Below are 19,166 nucleotides of genomic sequence, written 5' to 3'. Positions count from 1 at the left end.
TTAAAATATTAATACGATTTTTTTCATGCCAAATCTTCAAAATCCAGTGTTTGTTTTTTTTCCACTTGCAGCACACTCCAATTCAGACTAACTTCATTTCAAGCCATTCATAGCCACCCGTGGCCAGTAGCTTCCATATTGGAGAGTACATATCTATACTTAGGCAATTGGTTCTCAGCTGGGTGTTTTTAAAAGTGCAGGGGAGTTGGGCTGCCTTTCGTTAGCAGAGATGATGAGGGTCTTGAGAGACCTTTGGTAATCACACAAGGCTTAGGACAGTCCCACTGACAATGAAGAATTGTTCTGCCTGAATGCTGATAATGCTTCTATTGAAAACCGCTGCTTTCATACATGCAAAGAGCTTAGAACAGTGCCTGGCTCACAATAAGCCCTGAATGCAAGATTATTATTATTATCGTTACTATGCAGTCAGGTCCAGACTTCATCTCCTAGCATATGAACGCTCCATAGTCTTACCCCAGTGCTTTTACCAAGAAACCACACACACACACACACACACACACACACACACACACACACACATACCCATAATAATACATATGGGCATATGGGTAGTTTCTATATCTTCTATGCCTATTATGTTTGTGCATGTGTGTGTACAGTGCCTGAGTGTATGTGTGTGTGTGTGAATATCTATCTATCTATCTATCTATCTATATATATATATATATATATATATCTTGGGGTCTTCATATATCTCATTTCATTGCTCTGCAAATCTACCTTGAGAATAGGAGAGTGTATTAGTCCATTTTTACACTGCTGATAAAGACGTACCCAAGACTGGGCAATTTACAAAAAAAGAGGTTTAATGGACTCACAATTCCATGTGGCTGGAGAGGCCTCACAATCATGGTGGGAGGTGAAAGGCACGTCTTATATGGCAGCAGACAAGAGAACTTGTGTTGGGAAACTCCCCTTTATAAAACCATCAGATCTTGTGAGACCTGTCCGCTATCATGAGAACAGCACACGAAAGACCTGCTCCCCTGATTCAATTATCTCCCACCAGGTCCCTCGCACAACACGTGGGAATCATAGGAGCTACAGTTCAAGATGAGATTTGAGTGGGGACACAGCCAAACCATATCAGAGAGTAACTATAATTAGTTCTGTTGTACAGATAAGAAAACTAAGGCCAGAGAAGTTAAGCTGCTTGCTTAAGTTCACACAGCAACTGAGGAAGAGCTACAATTTCAACCTTCTTTGCTAGAGATTAGAGTTTACTATCCATAAATCTGGAAGCCCTAGCAATACCAATGTTATAGGTATCATGACTGAAGCCAGCCCATCTTCCACTGCCAAAGACCTGCCAAGCTCTTCCTTGGGGGACACACCAGAAGAACAATTCTCCCTGTGCTTGGGCCCGAGGCTCACCATACGGTTTCACTCCTGTCCTAGAAATGAGCTTGGAGCCGGTGACAAAGAGAAACATCCCAGTGCAATTTCAGTCTCAACAATGACAACTGATGATGCACAATAGTGGGATCTGGCCTGTAATCAGTTTCAAGCTATACTTAGCCATTTAAGCGTCCATTCTGCTCACTCCAGAGAGTGTGCGGGAGAGTCACACACCCCTCAGCTTCAGCTTCTGGCTCATCACCGCAGAGCACCATGCGGAAAAAGGACCCCTTTGTGATAGCACCGTAAATTACAGCCCAGGCAATCTGGAGTCTCAGCTAGAGTGGATTCTTCTGTCTCCTAAAAGAAAAATCTGTTTTAGGCTTAATTACAGTCTGTCATTACCTGCAATCTTATAATGACCCAAAGTCCCTGGAAAATGATAATAATAATTAAAAAAAAAGAGAGAGAGAGAGAGAGAATCGATTCAAATATGAATGGAAAAAGCCAGACAAATGCAGGGCAGGGAAGTGCTGGTAGCATTCTTCAGAAACAACTGTGCCATGAGGATCAGAGCTTTACAATGGTAAATACTTATTCTGGCTCCGTTGTCAATTTACCAGGCCCAAGGGCTCAGTGTTAACTTTACTCACTTTCTGAATCTTTAATCTCGTTGCTGTAGAATTCACCTTATAAAATGCAGGAGCAGCTCCCAAGATAAATTGATGCTGAAAATCAGACGACTGAGATTTAATAGGACAATGCTTCTCAGATCCCGCGAGGACGCATTGAACATACGAAAAGTGTTCAGTGATTGCTCTTAGTATGTTAGTAAGGAGATGCTGAGGTTTATCAGAAGACGCCTTTTAAATCAAGTTTTCTTTGTCAGTTTTCACGGACAGGACTTTCAGGTGCAGCCGACCATTGGGAGCTCCCTCTTGTGGCCATATCAGGAATGGAAATGTATCTCTTCCCACCACCCGACTTAAACCTCCAAAAGCAAAACTGAGGCCAACTGACTCAAGCTGGTGAATCCGCGATTGCGTACTAGAGAAGGGGGCCTTAGGGAAGTCTCAAAATGCTACGCTTAAATTTTCCTGGAGTCCAGATGTCCTTCTGAATCCACTAAACCTTGTGAAGCGATGTGAACGTCAGGTAAAAATCCTTTCTTTTCCTGTTTAACTGCCTCGTTATTTATGGACACAATTACTTTATATTATATACAGATTATATAAAATAACTCGTTGATTATTTTTAATTTATTGCTTGTGAGAATTCCCTGTGCATCAAAGAAGCCTTTTAAGCCGATTTTGCTTCCACAACAAGATTCTCGGGTGGATTCAGTTTACCGGAATTAACATCGACGCATTGACGTGACATTCAGTTGGGAACATGGAGCTGACTGTGTTTAGAGAGAGCTGAGCAAGTTCCCTAGGCAGGTTCCTTTTACTGTAATGGTCCCTGGGTCACAATGAGAACTTGGCCACCATCCCATGCAACTCCTCCTTTTCTTTCCGTTGCACTCTGGTTTCAGGAAGGAAATGATGACATGACTTACCCATCAGCCCTGTTTCCTGATTTTGAAACCACAGGGAATCTGCTCAATTGTAGGAACCAGGTTAGGAAAAGACTGAGTTAGAAATCATTACATTGTGAATAACAGAAAACTCAAACCAGTTTAAATAGCATATGGAATATATAGGGGCAGGTAATGACAAGTCTAGAGGTAGGCTTCAAGTAAGGCTTGATCCAGTAGATCAGGACTATTGCCAAGGACCCCACTTCTCTCCATGTCTTCTCTCTTTCTTCTAAGGTATAGCAGACCCTGTCTGTGCTCTGACCATTTCCCTGCAGCCTATCCTGAAGATCACTTGCAGACATTTCCTGTATACTTCAAAGATTGCCTGCATCTTTCTGTCTGAGGGCATTCCCTGTTCCTGGTGGTGTACACCCAAGCTGGAAATACCAGAAAGTTAACACCCCAAGATTGACCCTCAATACTAAGGAATAAAAGTTAGTTAATAAATATCCCAGGTTCCTTACACAGGGACAGTAAGGAGATATGCTGCACAGTATTTCTCAAGGTATTTCCCAAGACACTGAATCCATGTCCCCCATGGTGGCCTCATTAATTCACCCTTTACTGGCTTCCATTTGTTCCCTGTCTCACTTCCCTGCTCTCTCAAAGTGTTCCCTGCAATTCCTGTGCCCCCAAACCATTTGCATGCAGTCCTTCTCAGGGTCTCCTTTTCGGGGTAACTCAGGGTAAGAACAAAGTGCACCGCTTCCAGAAGGGAGCCATGAGTGTTGGACAACCAGCCACAGATGTCATCCTATTGAGAAATCCTAAAGACACGCCCAGGTCAGAGAAGCCAGCAGACTTCCCTTCTGGATATGGGGCATTTTACCAAAGGAAACCAGTGAGTCCGAGTAGATCTGAATCTGTGGCAAAATTGCCAGCATTTCAGCTGTGAAAAGCACACAGGATGCTAAAACCATCTCATTCTCTGGTGGGCGGTGGGTGGCGAATGGTGGGAGGAATGATGGGGAAAGGGAAGACTGTTCATTTTATTCACAGGGAAAATTAGAGACAACAACCATGGAGAATGGGTTCCAAATGCCATCCTACCCCCATCCTTGTCTCTTCATCTGAGGTTTTTCTGATTTTTCTGACTCCTCCAGAATTCACTGACCTCCCACGCCAACAACGAACCATCCCTCACAATTTAGACAAGTGCTGCCAACAGAAATAGAATGTGAACCACATATGCAAACCACCACATGCAACTTACAATTTCCTGGTGTCTACATTAAATGAGGGGAAAGAAACAGATGAAATTAACTTTAACAATGTACTTTATTTAACTCAGTAGATCACAAATATCCTTTCGATATGAAATTAATATAAAAATTATTAATAGGATATTTATATTATTTAAAAAAATCAAGTCTGTGAAAGCTGATGTGTGTTTTACACTTACAGCACATTTCAGCTCAGACTAGCCACATTTTACATGCTCAGTAACAGCAGGTAGTTAGTAGCTACTGTGTTGGACAGCACAGATTTATTTATTCATGTATTTATTTATTTTTGAGACAGGGTCTTGCCCTGTCACTGAGGCTGGAGTTAGTGGTGCAAATATAGGTCAGTGCAGCCCCAAAGTCTTGGGTTCAAGCAATCCTTCTGCCTCGGTTTCCTGAGTAGCTGGGACTAAAGGTGTGCACCATCAAGTCCAGTTAATTTTTTATTTTTGTAGAGATGGGATTGTGGTTATGTTACCCAGGCTGGACTTGAACTCCTGACCTCAAGCAATCCTCCTACCTTGGCCTATTAAACTGCTGGGATTACAGGCATGAGCCACTGTGCCCAGCCAGGTAGCATAGATTTATAGCATACCTTGTTACTATGTGTGTATTGAGCTTTTGAATTTCAAAATGCTTTCACATGCATATTATCATCTGGTCAATATTCCTAACAGGCAGACCTATGTGGTATTATCATCCCTGTATTGGTAATGCCTTAGGGGAGGTTAAGCTATTTTATCCTCTTTAGGGGTAGCAGGGCTGGGACTAGAGCTGGACTCCAGTGCTGGGCGCCTTCTACCACACCTTAGGTATTTCATTTGGGTCCACGACATCATCTTTTTTATCATCTTCAACATCTGGTATTAGCTAGACAGGCTTGTTGATTCACAGATAATATTAATTAGGATTTGTTTGGCCACAAATGACAGAGACTTGATTCAAACTGGCTTAACTATAAATAACAGAGGTGTTGGGGAGTGAAATGTTAGTTTGTAAAATGAATGCACGTGGTTTCAGGAATGGCTGGATCAAGGGAGAAATGGATATTTCCTGACGCATGGCTCTGCTTTTGTCTGTGCTTAGTAGATCTTAGGCAGCATCTCCACACAAGATAGCTAAGAGGATCTCCAACCTGCCAGCTTGGAGTCCTCGATGGAAAAAGAATACCTCTTTCCCAAAGCTCCAGCCAATGTCCTGGGGAAGGAGCTCATTGATGGGGCTTGGGTCCATGCCCATCCATGAACCAGTCATTGTACATCGTCACTAAGTCCCATGTCCACCCCAGCAACCATGAAAGCAACACAGTATCAAGGGTGGTCCCCCAAAGAAAGGGGAAATAATGGATCCCGGGCAAGCAGAAACCACAGATGTCTTCCCTGCCAATCCTGCATGCCTGTCTTTGGATTTTGTAATTAGAAATGAGGTTTGTTTGTTTGTTTTTTCCTGATCAGGTCCATCCTTTAATCAAGCCTGGATAGGCATCCTGGGAAGCGCAGAGCCTGTGTTCTAGTGTGGTCCATGCACACTCCTCTAGCGGCCAGATGTTCTCCACAATCGCACATAGCTTCCAAATCCCCGCTTGGCTCCAGAGCTGGAGTCCATTGCACACACCTGACAACACTTCTGGGAACATCCTTCAGAAAGGACACTATACCAGCGCAGGCCAGATGATGGCACACTTTTTGTTTTTTGTTTTTTTGAGAGGGAGTCAGTCTCGCTCTGTTGCCCAGATGGCTGGAGTGCAGTGGCACGATCTCGGCTCACTGCAATCTCTGCCTCCTGGGTTCAAGCAATTCTCCTGCCTCAGCCTCCTGAGTAGCTGGGACTACAGGCATGCACCACCATGCCCAGCTAATTTTTGTATTTTTGGTAGAGATGGAGTGTCACCATGTTGGCCAGGCTGGTCTCAAACTCCTGACCTCAGGCGATTCGCCAGCCTCAGCCTCCCAAAGTGCTGAGATTACAGACATGAGCCACCGCACCCAGCCTGATGACACACTTTGGATAAATGTCCTGGTGATACCTCTATACCCATTTCCACCTTCTCCAGCCCTTCACCCTGACACAGGCCTGGTTCCAGGGCCACACAGTGCCCAAGCAAGGAGGATACCTGCAGATGGCCTCAAGTGGGGGACTCTGCCTGTGCTCCATGTTGCTTTCCTTGATAAATGGACCCTGGAATTACTCTAAGGGGCCCAGATAGATTAGTAAGGATCTCTTTGAGCTCCACGTACTCTTAAAAAGAATTAAACTCATTTAAGGAAAAAGGTAATTATTGGCTCAAATAACTGAAAAATCTAAAGTAGGCACAGCTAAACACGGGGCTCAAATGATTGCCACCAAATCTTTCCTCTCTTTTCCACTTCCCTCCCTTCCCCCCTCCCTCTCCTTCCCTCCCTTCCCCTCTTTTCCCTCTCCCTTCTCCTTCTTTTTCCTGTCCCCTCTCCTCCTCTACCCTCCTTTTCTCTTCTTTTCTCTTCCTTGTATGCATGGACCACACTGGAACACAGACTTTGCCCTTCCCAGGACCCCCAACCAGGCTTGAGTTAAATGATGGGCCTGATCAGAAAAAAAAACTCATTTCTAATTACAAAATTCAAAGACAGATGCGGGATTGGCAGAGAAGACATCTGTGGTTTCTGCTTGCCTGGGACCCGTTACTTCTCCTTTCTTTGGGGGACCACCCTTGACACTGTGTTTACTTTCATGGTTGCAGGGGTGGACACGGGACTTAGTGATAGTGCACAGTGACTGGTTCAGGGATGGGCATGGACCCAAGCCCCATCAATGAGCTCCTTCCCCAGGACGTATGCTTCCTCTCTCCTCCCCTTCCCTCTCCTCTCTTCCCCTCCCCTCTCCTCTCCTTTCATCTTTTCTCTCCTTCCCTTCCCTATCCTACTTTTCCTTCCTTTCCCTCTCCTGTCCCCTCTCCTCCCCGCTTTCTTCTCTTCCCCTCCCCTCCCTCTCCTGTCCCCCTCCTCCCCCTTCCTTCTCCTTCCCTCCCCTCTTACATTCTCTCCCCTCCCCTCAAGATCCCCTCCTCTTCTCTGCCTTCTCCTCCCCTCCCCTCCCTCTCCTTCCCCCTTCTCCTTTTGTCTTGCCTCCCTTCTTTTCCCTTTCTCTCCTATCTTCTGTTTTGTCTTCCTCCCTTCCCTTCCTGTTTTAGTCTGTTTTGTGCTGCTATAACAGAATAGTTATCATAGAATACCTGAGATTGGGTAATTAATAAAGAACAGAAATTTATTTCTCATAGCTATGGAGGCTGGAAAGTCCAAGATCAAGGTGCTGGCATCTCATGAGGGGCGTCTTGCTGCAACCTCACATGGCATAAGGCAAGAGAGCAAGCTAGTGCAATGCTGCGCAAAGCCTATTTTATAAGACCTTTAATCCCATTAACAAAGAAGGAAACCTCACAGCCTCATCACCTCTTACAGGCACCACCTCTTCCTACTATCACATTGGCATCATCTGAATTTTGGAGGGGACACATTCAAACTATAGCATTTCCCTTCCCTCCCCTTCCTTCCCCCAACCCCCTTTCAACCCCTCTTTCACTCCCTCTCCTGGTTCTATTCTCTTCTGCTCACCTTTTTCCCAGTCTCTCCAGAAAAAGCACCAGGATGGGGTGGCTGAAATGGAGATCTTCAGAATCAGGGAGACCCTGAGTCCCACAGAATTGGATCATCCGAGGCCATGCAGTTGAGTGGGAAGATGTGATTCAGCAGACATTGATTGAGCACTTACTGAATGCAGACTGGTGTGGGGGGTGTAGAGATGAATAGGACATGTCTTCCCTTTAAGAAGCTCAAAGACTAGTGAGAAGGAAAAAAGAAAGCCATATTGGTTGAGAAATTCTTATGTGCTAGGGAATTACATTATGAAATCCTCATGACAGAGTCACCCAGAAAGATGCAGAAAGGTCCGGTGATTTCTGGGTGCTGCAGCAGAGCTGGGAGTTGACATCAGGGCTTCTTGGCTGCAAGGTGGTTACTCTGTCCTCTAGAGCCACACATTTGCCACTTGAAAAACGACATCTCCTGGAATTGCTGAAAAAGCAAAGAAGTATGGGTTTCCTCTGCAGAATTCAGGGATTTCACCCCTCTAGGGTTCTGACTCAGGGCGGGGGCAAATTCACGTGGGAGTGCGGGATGCGGAACTGATGCCTCCCGAGTCTCTCCTAAGCTTGTGAGTCTCAAACCACAGATGGCTGATTGGTGGGGAAAGCAGCCGGCACCTGCGGGTCACCTTCCGCCCTGGGGAGCAAACTGTCAAAAGGAGCTGTGCCCGAGGCTGACCTAGTTAGACAGTGGGCCGCACACAGGCGCTCTCCTTTGCAGGATTTGTTCCAGGCGTTTGTTTATTTGCGCACCACTTTATTTGCCACTAAAAATACTCTTCCGAAGCAGAGGCGCAACTGACCGTGACTCTTGCGAAACAGCCGAGTGCACAAGCACTGAAGGGCTCCCTCTCGGGCTTCCCGGGCTCGGGGACTGCAAGGGGAACAGAGCAAGGCCTACTTGCCTTAAGGCAGGCAGCTCTGTTCACTTCCATAACCCCAAACCCAATCCCTCCATGAGGCACTTGCTGGTTAAGAAGCAGCTCTCAGCCTGCCTGGTGGACTGTGGATAACGTTGCACAGAACTCCTCAGTTGTAACCAACAAAACTCAGTTCAGACCGGGTTAATCATACACTCACACACACGTATTGTCTCAATGAGCAAAAATTCCAGAGACTGCTGTAGGCACAGCTGGATCCAGTACCGATGGATGGCTGGAATCTGGTCTAACTCTGGCCTTTTTCAGTTCTTTTTATCCTCTGGGTTGGCCTCACTCTCAAGCATGTTTTCTCCTCACAATGTCAAGATAGCTGCCAGTAGCCTCAGGCATGCTTAATCACAGCTCCAAGTGCAAACAAAAGGGGACTTCTTTTTCTCCAGACTTTTTTTAAATGCACTTTATTGAGGTACAGTTGATATACAGTAAACTCCATATACTTAAAGTGTACAATTGGATAAGTTTTGACATATGTGTACACCCATGGGACCACCACCATGTCGACACAAAGAGTCAGACTCCATAAAATTTTTAAACAGGTTTATTCTGAGCCAAATATGAGTGACTAAGGCCTGAGGCACAGTCCCAAGAGGTGCTGAGAATATGTGCCCAAGGTGGTTGGGTTACAGCTTGGTTTTTATATGTGTTAGGGAGACATAAGACTTCAGTCAATACATGTGAGGTATATATTGGTTTGGTCTGAAAAGGTGGGACAACTTGAAGGGGAGGGTTACAGGTCATAGGGGGATTCCAAGATCTTCTGATTGGCAATTGATTAAAAGAATTAAGTTATTATCTAAAGACCTGGAATCAATAGAAGAGTGTCTAGGTCAAGATGAGGGGTTGTGGAAACCAAGGTTCTTGTTACATAGATGAAGCTTCATGGGTGCCCACCCTTACAGGCAAAAGATGGTGAATGTTTCCTGCTCAAACCCTTAAAAAGTGCTAGACCCTCAGTTAGTCCCTTCAGGATTGGGAGGGTCTGGAAGGGGAAATATCTAGTTAACAGAGATTCGTTACAGATGCAATTCCACCACAAAAACAAAGTTGCAGGCTATTTCAAAGTGTGACAAATAAACATACTTTGGGGTAAAATGTTTTGATTTCCTTCTTTATCTGTCATGTGATGTTATGCCAGGGTCAGATTGGAAAGTCAGTCAGTTAGACAGGTTTAAATAAAATGTCTCTGATGAGATTTTACAGTTTGTAGTGTGTGACTCCCCAGGCCTCTTAGGAATTTGGGCAAGAGAGGAAAAAAGGCTGGGCGTGGTGGCTCGTGTCTGTAATTCTAGCATTTGGGAGGCCGAGGGGAGCGGCTTGCTTTAGCTCAGGGGTTTGAGACTAGACTGGGCAACACGGAAAAACCCCATCTCTACAAAAAATGCAAAAATTATCTGGGCGTGGTAGTGCGTGCCTGTAGTCCCAGCTACTTGGGAGGCTGAGGTGGGAGGATGGCTTGAGCAAGGGAGGTTGAGGCTGCAGTGAGCTGAGATGGCACCACTGCACTCCAGCCTGGGTGACAGAGAGCCTTGTCTCAAAAAAGAAAAGAAAAGAAAAGAAAAGAAAAGAAAAGAAAAAGGTCAGAATTTAGTCCTCAACCACAATCAACACAGCAAACAAGTTCATGATAGCCAGGGTTTTCCTGTGTCCCTTTGTCATCCTTCCCTCTGTCTGTGAAAATAGTCAAACTCTGTGGAATGTTTGAAGAGATTTATTCTGAGTGAAAATGAGTGACCAGTCCTCCATAGATTCTGAGAATGTGCCCAAGGTGGTTGGGCCACAACTTGGTTTTATATATTTTAGGGAGACATAAGGGACCGATTGATATGTGTAAGATGTACCTTGGTTGGTTCTGGAAAGGTGGGACAACTGGAAGTGAGAGCTTCCAAGTCATGAAGATTTAAAGATTTTTTGATCAGCAACTGGTTGACTTATTTTCAATAGAAAGAAATGTCTGGATTATGATAAGGGGTTGTGGAGACCAAGGTTTTATTATGCAGATGAAGCCTCTAGGTAGTATGTTTCAAAGATAATAGATTGTAAATGTTTCTTATCAGACTTAAAGAGTCTGTTCTATCAGTAGTTCTAAAAGAGAGGATGGTATAATGAGGCATATCTGGCCCCCTCTTCCCATCATGGGCTGAACTAGTTTGTTTTTCAGGTTAACTTTAGAATGTCCTTGCCAAGAGGAAGGGAGTTGGTGGGTGAGTGGCAGATAGCTGGGAAAACATTCGAGGAATCATAGACAGCTTCTACATGGCTGTACTCTCTCCCTGGGCAGGAGCGAGCCGAACGTACAGCATTAGCAGGGTAATTATACCTTTTGCAGACAATAGTGGCTCCAAGCCAAGCACAAGCTCATGTGGGTGACCACCTAACGTGCCTCATGTGGCAAGGTTGCATAATGTGCAGGGTTGTGCACCTGCACTCCTAACCTGCTGAATCATGCTGCACTGGAAGCCTGCCTTGGCTTACTCCTGACTAAAGTGCAGTCATCTCCCTCATACTCCACCTCCCAGGCCGAGGGCGTCCCCCGGGCAAGGACACAAGCCCATAGGGCAGAGCCCTGAATTCATAACCCACAACAACAACACAGAGAGCAACAACTCACTACTAGGATCCCAGCTATGCTACTTATGACTATTAGGACCCAGCATAGGCCAGAGCCTAGAGATGCCCACCAACTCTGTAGGGGGTCGTCAGTAAGGGTCTTGACCACCTTAATCTCCCATGAGACCCTTTGCAGGGCTGCTGTTATATTCTGCCAATTGTCAGGGATAAAGGTACAACATTGTGTTCCTAAAAGGGCACAGGTGCCTCCTTGGGCAGCAGTTATTATGTCAAAGGCCATTCAGTTTTGCAACACCACCTTTCTCATCTGATCAACCTCATCCATAACAGGATGAGGGCCACTCGGGTGTAATTCAGAGCCCTGGTGGTGTGCTCTGCAAGAGCAGTAACTTGTGCTTCTACAGTTTTGACACCCACTCCAGGGATAGTCATTGCCAAGGGGTAGGACCACCAGGGGGCTCATTGCACTCACAAAACCCAAGAGAGTAGTGCCTCCCAGGTATGTGGGAGTCTGGGCAACATGGGGAGAACAGTGCCAGGTACATGAGGCCACCCCCAGGTACAACATCCAGTCCAGTCCACTGGTTGGTAAGGCCACCCTGTGTCACTACAGACCCATAGACTGCCAGGGGGCACAAAATCCATTAGGGCGTGATGTTGGTGGGGCTTCTTGTTCCACCACCTTGTCACTATACCTTTGGTGTAGTGACATGTGTTATGTTCACACAAGCCATGACGGGTACCCACTCCTCAGTGGTGTTACCCCAGTGTTTCTCAGTGCACCATGATGCCTGGGCTGGAGGTACTACACGTCCCCCCAGTAGCCAGCCCCACCCATCATAAATGCTACAGGCTAGCCAGGGGGTGGGTGCACCTTGGGTCTTGAGGTGTCCTTTGTCCAAAATTTGCTGCATTGCGTTCCAGGCATCAGCCACAGGTGTCCAAGTCTCCAGCCATGTGCAGTTGTCTGCAGATGCTGAATGTATGTGCCGAGGCCAGCCATCCACAGCTGTTGCTGGAAAGGTGGTGCAGATCCAACAGCTGGAAACACCGGTCATCTCAGTGTAGGTGTGGGCTGAGTCCACAATGCAGTTGGAGCATGTTAACCTATGACGGAAATGACTGAGTAGGCACAGATACTGATGGAGGTAAAGCACGTCCCTCAGGCAAAATATAGGCTAACCTTTCATCCCTGGATAACAGTGCAGCCACCAAGGGTTTTTGCCATGGGCAAAACCACACCTCAGCTCCCCACGGTTCCTTTGAGTCCTGTATCTGTGCCAAAGTCATGGGGAGCTCATAATAGGTGGCACAGACAGTACATATGTCCCCCAGAGGAGAGTTCTTTCCCTGGCCTTTCCCCTATGAACAGTCAACTGCAGGGGCCATGTATTGAACACCGAAGGAGTGAAATGCAAGTCACACTGTAGGCCCTCCCCCAAGGGAGCTACAATGGCCAACCACTGGCTGTGCAGGCTTGGAGGGTACAGGGCCACAGCCAGGTTTTCTGTTCCACTGCTTTCAGGGGAGCTGGAGCAGCCACCAGCAGGTTACCATTCGTCCCCATACCTGGTCGAAGGAGGTCATCCTTGGAATGTATCTGCAACTGAGTGGGGGCAGTGCCCTGGTGTAACAAAGCCTCCACTGGGGTCTGGCTGCCTTTCTGTGGCCGTTCGTTCAAGGTTAGGAGCACCAGGTCCAGCTTGGAACTCCAGCCCTGCAAAGACAGGGGTGTGACATATGAGGGTAACCCATTATTCAAGAGTTCATTATATCGCTCAATTATACTCGGGGCTTGTAGGATGTATGGCACATGGAATCCCCACTTTATGTCCATTTGTTGTGCCCATTATTGTACCTGTTTTCCAGTGAAATGTGTTCCCCTATCACTCTCAATGGCCAGAAGGCAACCATACAGGCCACATAAATGTTGCAGGGCCCAGATGGTGTTCTGTTGGTTGGCCACCCTGCAAGGGTAGATGAACAACAGGCCTGTGTCCACAGCTGTTAGCGCATGCATATACCCTTGTGACTTCAGCAGTGGCTGGATTTAGTCTACTTACCACCTGGTCAAGGGCACTCACCCTATCGTTACTTGTGTAACACTGGGCAGCTGCCTCTGTTTAGGGTATGCCTGAGCACATGCCAGGCATTTCTAACAAGCCTCCCAAATGTCTTGCATGGGCAGGGACAGGCTCAAATGCTTATTGATCTGTCTCATCAGTTTACCCCTCGCATGTCCCAGTTTCTGGTGTAGCCACAAGGTCATATCTCATGTAGGTGCCAGCTCTAACTATTGGACCTTCACCAGGGCATCTACCTCATCATTGCCAGTGGTGGCCAAAGGAATATGGCCTGACACGTGATAAATAGTTATCTCTTTCTGATGACCTATTTCCCAGAGGTTGTACCACATGGATTGCCCCCAAATGGGTTGGTGGCCAACTAGCCACTTCTGTATTTTCCAGGTAGTTAACCACAAGGTTAAGCCCCAATAGACAACCCAGCTATCGGTGCAGATTACCATAGGTGTCACCTCCTTGGTGATCACCATCCATACTGCCCAATAGGCTATTCTGTCCACACCTGGTTTCAAACCGTATGGTGTTAGTACTAGGCTGGACTGCAACAGCAGTCTAGGCAGCAGTAACACCTTGGCTAGACCCATCTTTGTACCATGACCCACTGGGAATGAGGGGACCCAATTCCTTAAATGGCGAAGGCTCAGGGTCTAGGGGTGCCTCGGGCCCCATGGCCTTATCTTGCATTAGGACTACAGGTCCCAAGACCTCTTACAACTCTGTTGCTAAGGGACTTGTACTCAGCGTACTCTGCTGCTCCAAGTAGGTACCCCACTTTGCCAAAGTGGATGTCTGCAATGTCCCAGTCTGGGAATTTGTTACCCGTGAATGCATCCATTCCTGCTATTGGGTAAGTCGTCTGCACAATGACTGCAGCCCATCCTGTCACACTCTCACAAGCCTCAAGGACGGCATATACAGGTGCTAGCTGTTTCTCTTTCAAGGAATACTGGAGCTCAGCTCCCTTCCATAGTTGGGACCAAAAGCCTCCTAGCATTTTCAAGCACCCCGTGCACTGCCACAGGCCTCAACCAAAATCATCTGTGGTCACATGCACATCCAGCTCAAATGGGAGCCCCTGGTCAACGACCTGTAGGGCTCATGCCTGTTGAATAGCCCGTTTGGCTGCCAGGAAGGCAGTCTCAGCTGCATCATCCCAATCCCAGATAACTCCCTTCTTTGTTAACCAATACAGTGGTTTTATCATCTGGGCTAAATGGGGCACAAATGACTGTCAGTAACCCAGGAGGCCCAAAAAAGTTTGCAGCTGCTTCACCATGGTGGGCCTGGGATATGCCTGAATCTTATCAATGATAGCCTCTGGGATGGCCTTTGTCTTACCTGACCAAGTAACTCCCAAGAATTTGGTAGATAATCCAGGCCCTTGGACCTTGGATTCATTGACAGCCCAACCACATGCTGCCAAATGTTGCTGCAAGAGGGGCGCCGCCACTTCTAAATCTGCAAGAGAATCAGAGGTTAACATAATATCATCAATATAATGGAATAGCTAGACCCCTTCTGGACATTGCCAGGTGACTAAGTCTGTGGCAACTAGATCATGACATATGGTGGGGCTATGCACATAGCCCTGCAGCAACACTGTAGAAGTCCATCGTTGCCCATCCCACATGAAGGTGAACTGTTCCTGGCTCTCTGGACTGATGTCTGTGGAGAAAAATGCGTTGGCCAAGTCCACTACATAGTGGTACTGTCCCAGTTCTGTCATCAAATTGGCTATCAAATCCATGATTGATGGTACAGCTGCATGCGAAGGGGGTGTTACTTTATTCAGTTCCTGATAGTCCACCGTCATCTGCCAAGTTCCATCAGGCTTTCTAACTGCCCACACCAGAGAATTGTAGGTGCTGTGGGTGCCACACATTTTCTGCACCTCCTCCAGCTTTTTAATTGTCTCAGTTATCTCTGTATACCCACCCAGCAAATGGTATTGATGGGTGGAAGTAACCCATCGTGGTTGTGGCAGGACCTGAGGCTGGTGATGCATATGTCCGTCACATGCACTCAGTCCGAATTCCCTGGCCATGGCTTGTAATGCCAGGCCATGCAAAATATCCACCTCCAGAATGTATTTTGGTATGGGAGAGACATACACAGTATATAAACAGGCAGCCAAACAGCCGATGTCAGGGTGCTGAGATACAGGTTTCACTTTCACTGACCGTCCTCCATAACTGTCAATGAAAGCAGGTTTTCCCAGAAACTTATCTGGGTTCCCATAAATGAGGCTGCAATCTGCACCAGTATCCACCAGCATCAGCACCCACCGCACATTGGTGGGGGACCAGTGGATTGCTAATTCCACATGTGGCCTCCAGTCGCCCAGTGTTTCCCCAAAGCTAGGCACTTTGGCCAGTTCCCTAATCAAACAGAAAAGGCTCTACATTTCTACCTGGCTGCAGCAAGTTGTCTTTGAACTGAAGTGCCTGGGCAGGACCAGGTCATGCAGCAATGTCCTTCTCCCCCTTGGGCATTTTCTGAAATTGCTGCTCCAGAGACAACTGTCTCCACAAATTTAAGAGAATTTCATTGAACTGCTTACCGATTTTCTCTTGGTCAACCCTGACAAAAATCAAATCTATCCACATCTGTGAGTGTGTCACTTGTTGGGGCCCTCCTTTCTCCTGTCAGGGGGCCACTGTGGGTGGAGCATCTTCCCCTTCTTTACATCCCAGACCCCTCAGTCCCACTGACAGACTTCTGCTTGCCCAAGAGCCACCATAGCAGTGGTCACTTCATGTATGTGGTGCCCTATATATGGGGTAAGGACAACAGCTAGGGAGCCAAAGGCACTTGGGGACACAGAACCCCACATGAGATCCCTTCTGTGGGAGGTGACACGTTCATCATCTGGCCCCTGGGTATTCAGGTCAAACATAGCCTGCCGCATACCCATTTCCTGGATGACTTGCACCAATTTGGCATATGACTGCCATTTACTCATGATTTTGGGTATTTCACCAGTGTCGTTCCACACAGTCTATATAGCTGCCCATAGCCACTCAACCAGGGTGTGGTCACGTTGCCCTTGTGCCAACCACGTACTCACCTGCAACAGCTCGGGATCCTGTTTGTGATGCCAATTGTTAGGTTCCAACTGAGGTCCGAGGGGAGTCGGTGGGCAAGTGGTGGGTAGCTGGAAAAACACTTGAGGAATCGTAGACAGTTTTGACATGGCTTTACTCTCTCTCTGGCTGTAATTGAGCCATATGTACAGTATTAGCAGGGTAATTATAAATTTACAGATAATAGTGGCTCCAAGCCAAGCATGAGCTTACGTGGGTGATCACCTAATGCACCTCACATGGCATGGTTACATAACGTGCGGGGTTTTGCGCCTGCACTCCAAACCTGCTGAGTCATGCTGTGTCAGAAGGCCGCTTCGGCCTACTCCTGACTAGAGCGCAGCTTTTCAGGGAGGTAGTCCTGGATTACTTTCAGTTAATTGGCCCTTGTTTTTCGAGTTTCTCAAGGTAGAAGCTGAAGTCACTGATTTGAGATCTTCTTTCTTCTTGTCTAAAGTACGTGTTTAGTGTTACAAATTTTTCCCTAATTATTGCTTTAGGAATATCTCAAATTCTTATATGTTCTGTTTTCAGTTATATTCAGTTCAAAATACTTTCTAATTTAATTGTTAATTTTGATCCATGTTATTTACAAGTGTGTTATTTAGTTTGAAACATTGGGGAATTTTCCAGAGATTTTTCTGTCGTTAACTTCAAATTTAATTCCACTGTGGTCAGAGAACATATTTGGCATGACTTGAATCTTTTTATAGATTTTTAGTAGTTGTTCTAGGTATTACAATATATATGTAGCTTATCACAGTCTGCTGCTATAGGTGTTTTCCCATCTGAGAGTAGAAAATTTACTTGCATTTAGGTCTCTTTATCCTCTCCACTTAAAAAAAAATTGTGCTATGTTTTTCTCTACGTACACTAATTAACACATAAAATGTTATAATTCTTGCTTCAACCATCAAATATAATTTAAGAAATTCATAAGAAGTAATCTATTGCTTCTAATATAGTACCATGTTTTATTTATCCCCAATTTTATCCATTCCAAATTCCAATGTTTTTTCCCTTCTGAAGTTCAAAACTGTCTTCTATTATCATTTTCTTTCTGCTTAGAGAACTTCCTTTTACCATTTTTAAGGACAGTCAGGAAGAAATTCTTTTATCTGAAAATGTTTTAATTTTTCCTTTATTCCTTAAGGATTTTTTCATCAGACAAAATTTGCAGTCTTTTTTTCCAGACTTGAAGCAAGTACAGTTCTTTCTGACTTCCATGATTTCAGATGAGAAACCTACTGTCTTTGAATTGGTGTTCTATTAGTATTGTGTCATTTATCTTTAGCTGTCTTCAAGATTTTAAAATTTGTCTTTGGCTTTCAGAAGAATAATTATGATGTGTTTTGGCATGAATTTCTTTGGGTTTATTGTATTTGGGATTCCCTTAGCTTCATGAATGTGTAAGTTCATGTCTTTTGCTAAATTCGGGGAGTTTTCAGCCATTAGTATTTCAAACATTTTTTCAATTCCACTTTCACTATTCTCTCCTTCTGGGTCTCTTGGTGATATAAATAACAATTCTTTAGTTATTGTCCCACAGGTCAATATTGCTTTAGGGGTATCTCAAATTCTGATAAGTTGTGTTTTCAGTTTCATTCAGTTCAAAATATTTTCTAACTTAATTGACCCATGTTATTTAGAAGTATGTTATTTAGTTTCAAATATTGAGGAATTTTCTACAGATTTTTCTGTCATTCGTTTCAAATTTAATTTTACAGTAGCCAGGAACACAGTTGGTTCTGTTCATTTTTGTCAGTTTATTTTTTGTCCGTTGTTTGGACAGGGTAAATTCTGTTCCTAGGTTCATTGATTCTATCCTGTCATCTCCATTCTACTACTGAGGCCATACAGTGGACTTTTTATTTTGGTTATTGTATTTTTTAATTCTGTAATTTCCATTTGGCTCTTTTTTTTTTTTTTTTTTTAGATAGGGTCTCACTCTGTTGCCCAGGCTAGAGTACAGTAGTGTGATCACTTCTCATGCCAGCCTCCACCTCCTGGGCTCAACCGATCCTCCCATCTCACTTCTGAGTAGCTGGAACTACAGACATATGCCACCACAACTAGCTGATTTTAAAAATTTTTCGTAGAGATAGAATCTCACTATATTTCCCAGGCTGGCCTTGAACTCCTAGGCTCAAGCCATCCTCCTGCCTTGGCCTCCCAAAGTGCTTGGGATCCTCCTACCTTGGCCTCCCAAAGTGCTAGGATTATAGGCATGAGCCACTGTGCCTGGCTTGGCTCTGTTTTATAAATCATTTCTTTGCTGAAATGTTATATTCTTTACTTGTTTCAAGATAAACTGTAATTGCTTGTTAAAGCATTTTCATGACGAATGCCTTAAAATCTTTGCCAGATAACTCCAACATCTCATTCATTTCAGTATTGGTATCTATTGTCTTTTATTGAGATATAAATTGATGACTAGGTAAGTATGCATGCAACTCCCTGCTGGGCTTCACTAACACCTTCCCAGAAAAAGTGAGACATTGACTTGTACCACCTTGTTGCCATTGAGTGAGTGGGAACATAAACTCAGATCCCCATTGGGTCCACTGACTCCAGGGGAGAGAGGAAGTAGAGTGTCAACTACCTTGCTTTGCACCACCTTGTTTATGTTGGGTGAGGGTGGAGGCTCACCTCCTTGTGTGGTTCTGCTGACACTGAGAGTGTGTGTGTGAATCCTAGTGGCGACTAC

General features: G+C 45.5%; 1 protein-coding gene and 1 long non-coding RNA gene across 8 annotated transcripts in view, besides 1 other annotated feature; one reads left to right on the top strand and one right to left on the bottom strand.

The window, feature by feature from the left end:
* Positions 1-8,386, bottom strand: part of LOC102723675 (uncharacterized) — a 52,704-nt gene extending 44,318 nt beyond the window's left edge. For 3 of the 6 annotated variants that reach the window (XR_007058082.1, XR_001741620.3, XR_007058080.1), the window contains exon 1: positions 2,016-2,768. This is a non-coding gene — a long non-coding RNA (uncharacterized LOC102723675). Of the gene's footprint in view, positions 1-1,567; positions 1,723-2,015; positions 2,769-7,754 lie in introns of those variants that run through there. The other 3 variants (XR_007058081.1, XR_001741623.3, XR_001741624.2) reach the window with 3 other exon arrangements.
* The window catches only part of CCDC149 (coiled-coil domain containing 149), a 176,691-nt gene continuing 159,906 nt past the window's right edge, over positions 2,382-19,166 (top strand). Inside the window, exon 1 of one of the 2 annotated variants that reach the window (NM_173463.6) lies at positions 2,382-2,517. The gene's annotated coding sequence lies outside the window, so the exon portion shown is untranslated. The remainder of the gene's footprint in view (positions 2,518-19,166) is intronic. The other variant, XM_011513908.3, reaches the window with a different exon arrangement.
* Positions 16,067-17,266: an enhancer, noted in NCBI's record as "MED14-independent group 3 enhancer chr4:24966942-24968141 (GRCh37/hg19 assembly coordinates)". NCBI's record gives its function as "activates an origin of replication core promoter dependent on BRD2, BRD4, P300/CBP and CDK7 cofactors, and independent of MED14, by STARR-seq in HCT116 cells {active_cell/tissue: HCT116}" and the evidence as "EXISTENCE:reporter gene assay evidence [ECO:0000049][PMID:35650434]".

Source organism: Homo sapiens, chromosome 4 (genome assembly GCF_000001405.40).
Source record: "Homo sapiens chromosome 4, GRCh38.p14 Primary Assembly".
NCBI classification, from domain to species: domain Eukaryota; kingdom Metazoa; phylum Chordata; class Mammalia; order Primates; family Hominidae; genus Homo; species Homo sapiens.
This window is presented reverse-complemented; position numbering and strand designations above follow the sequence as displayed.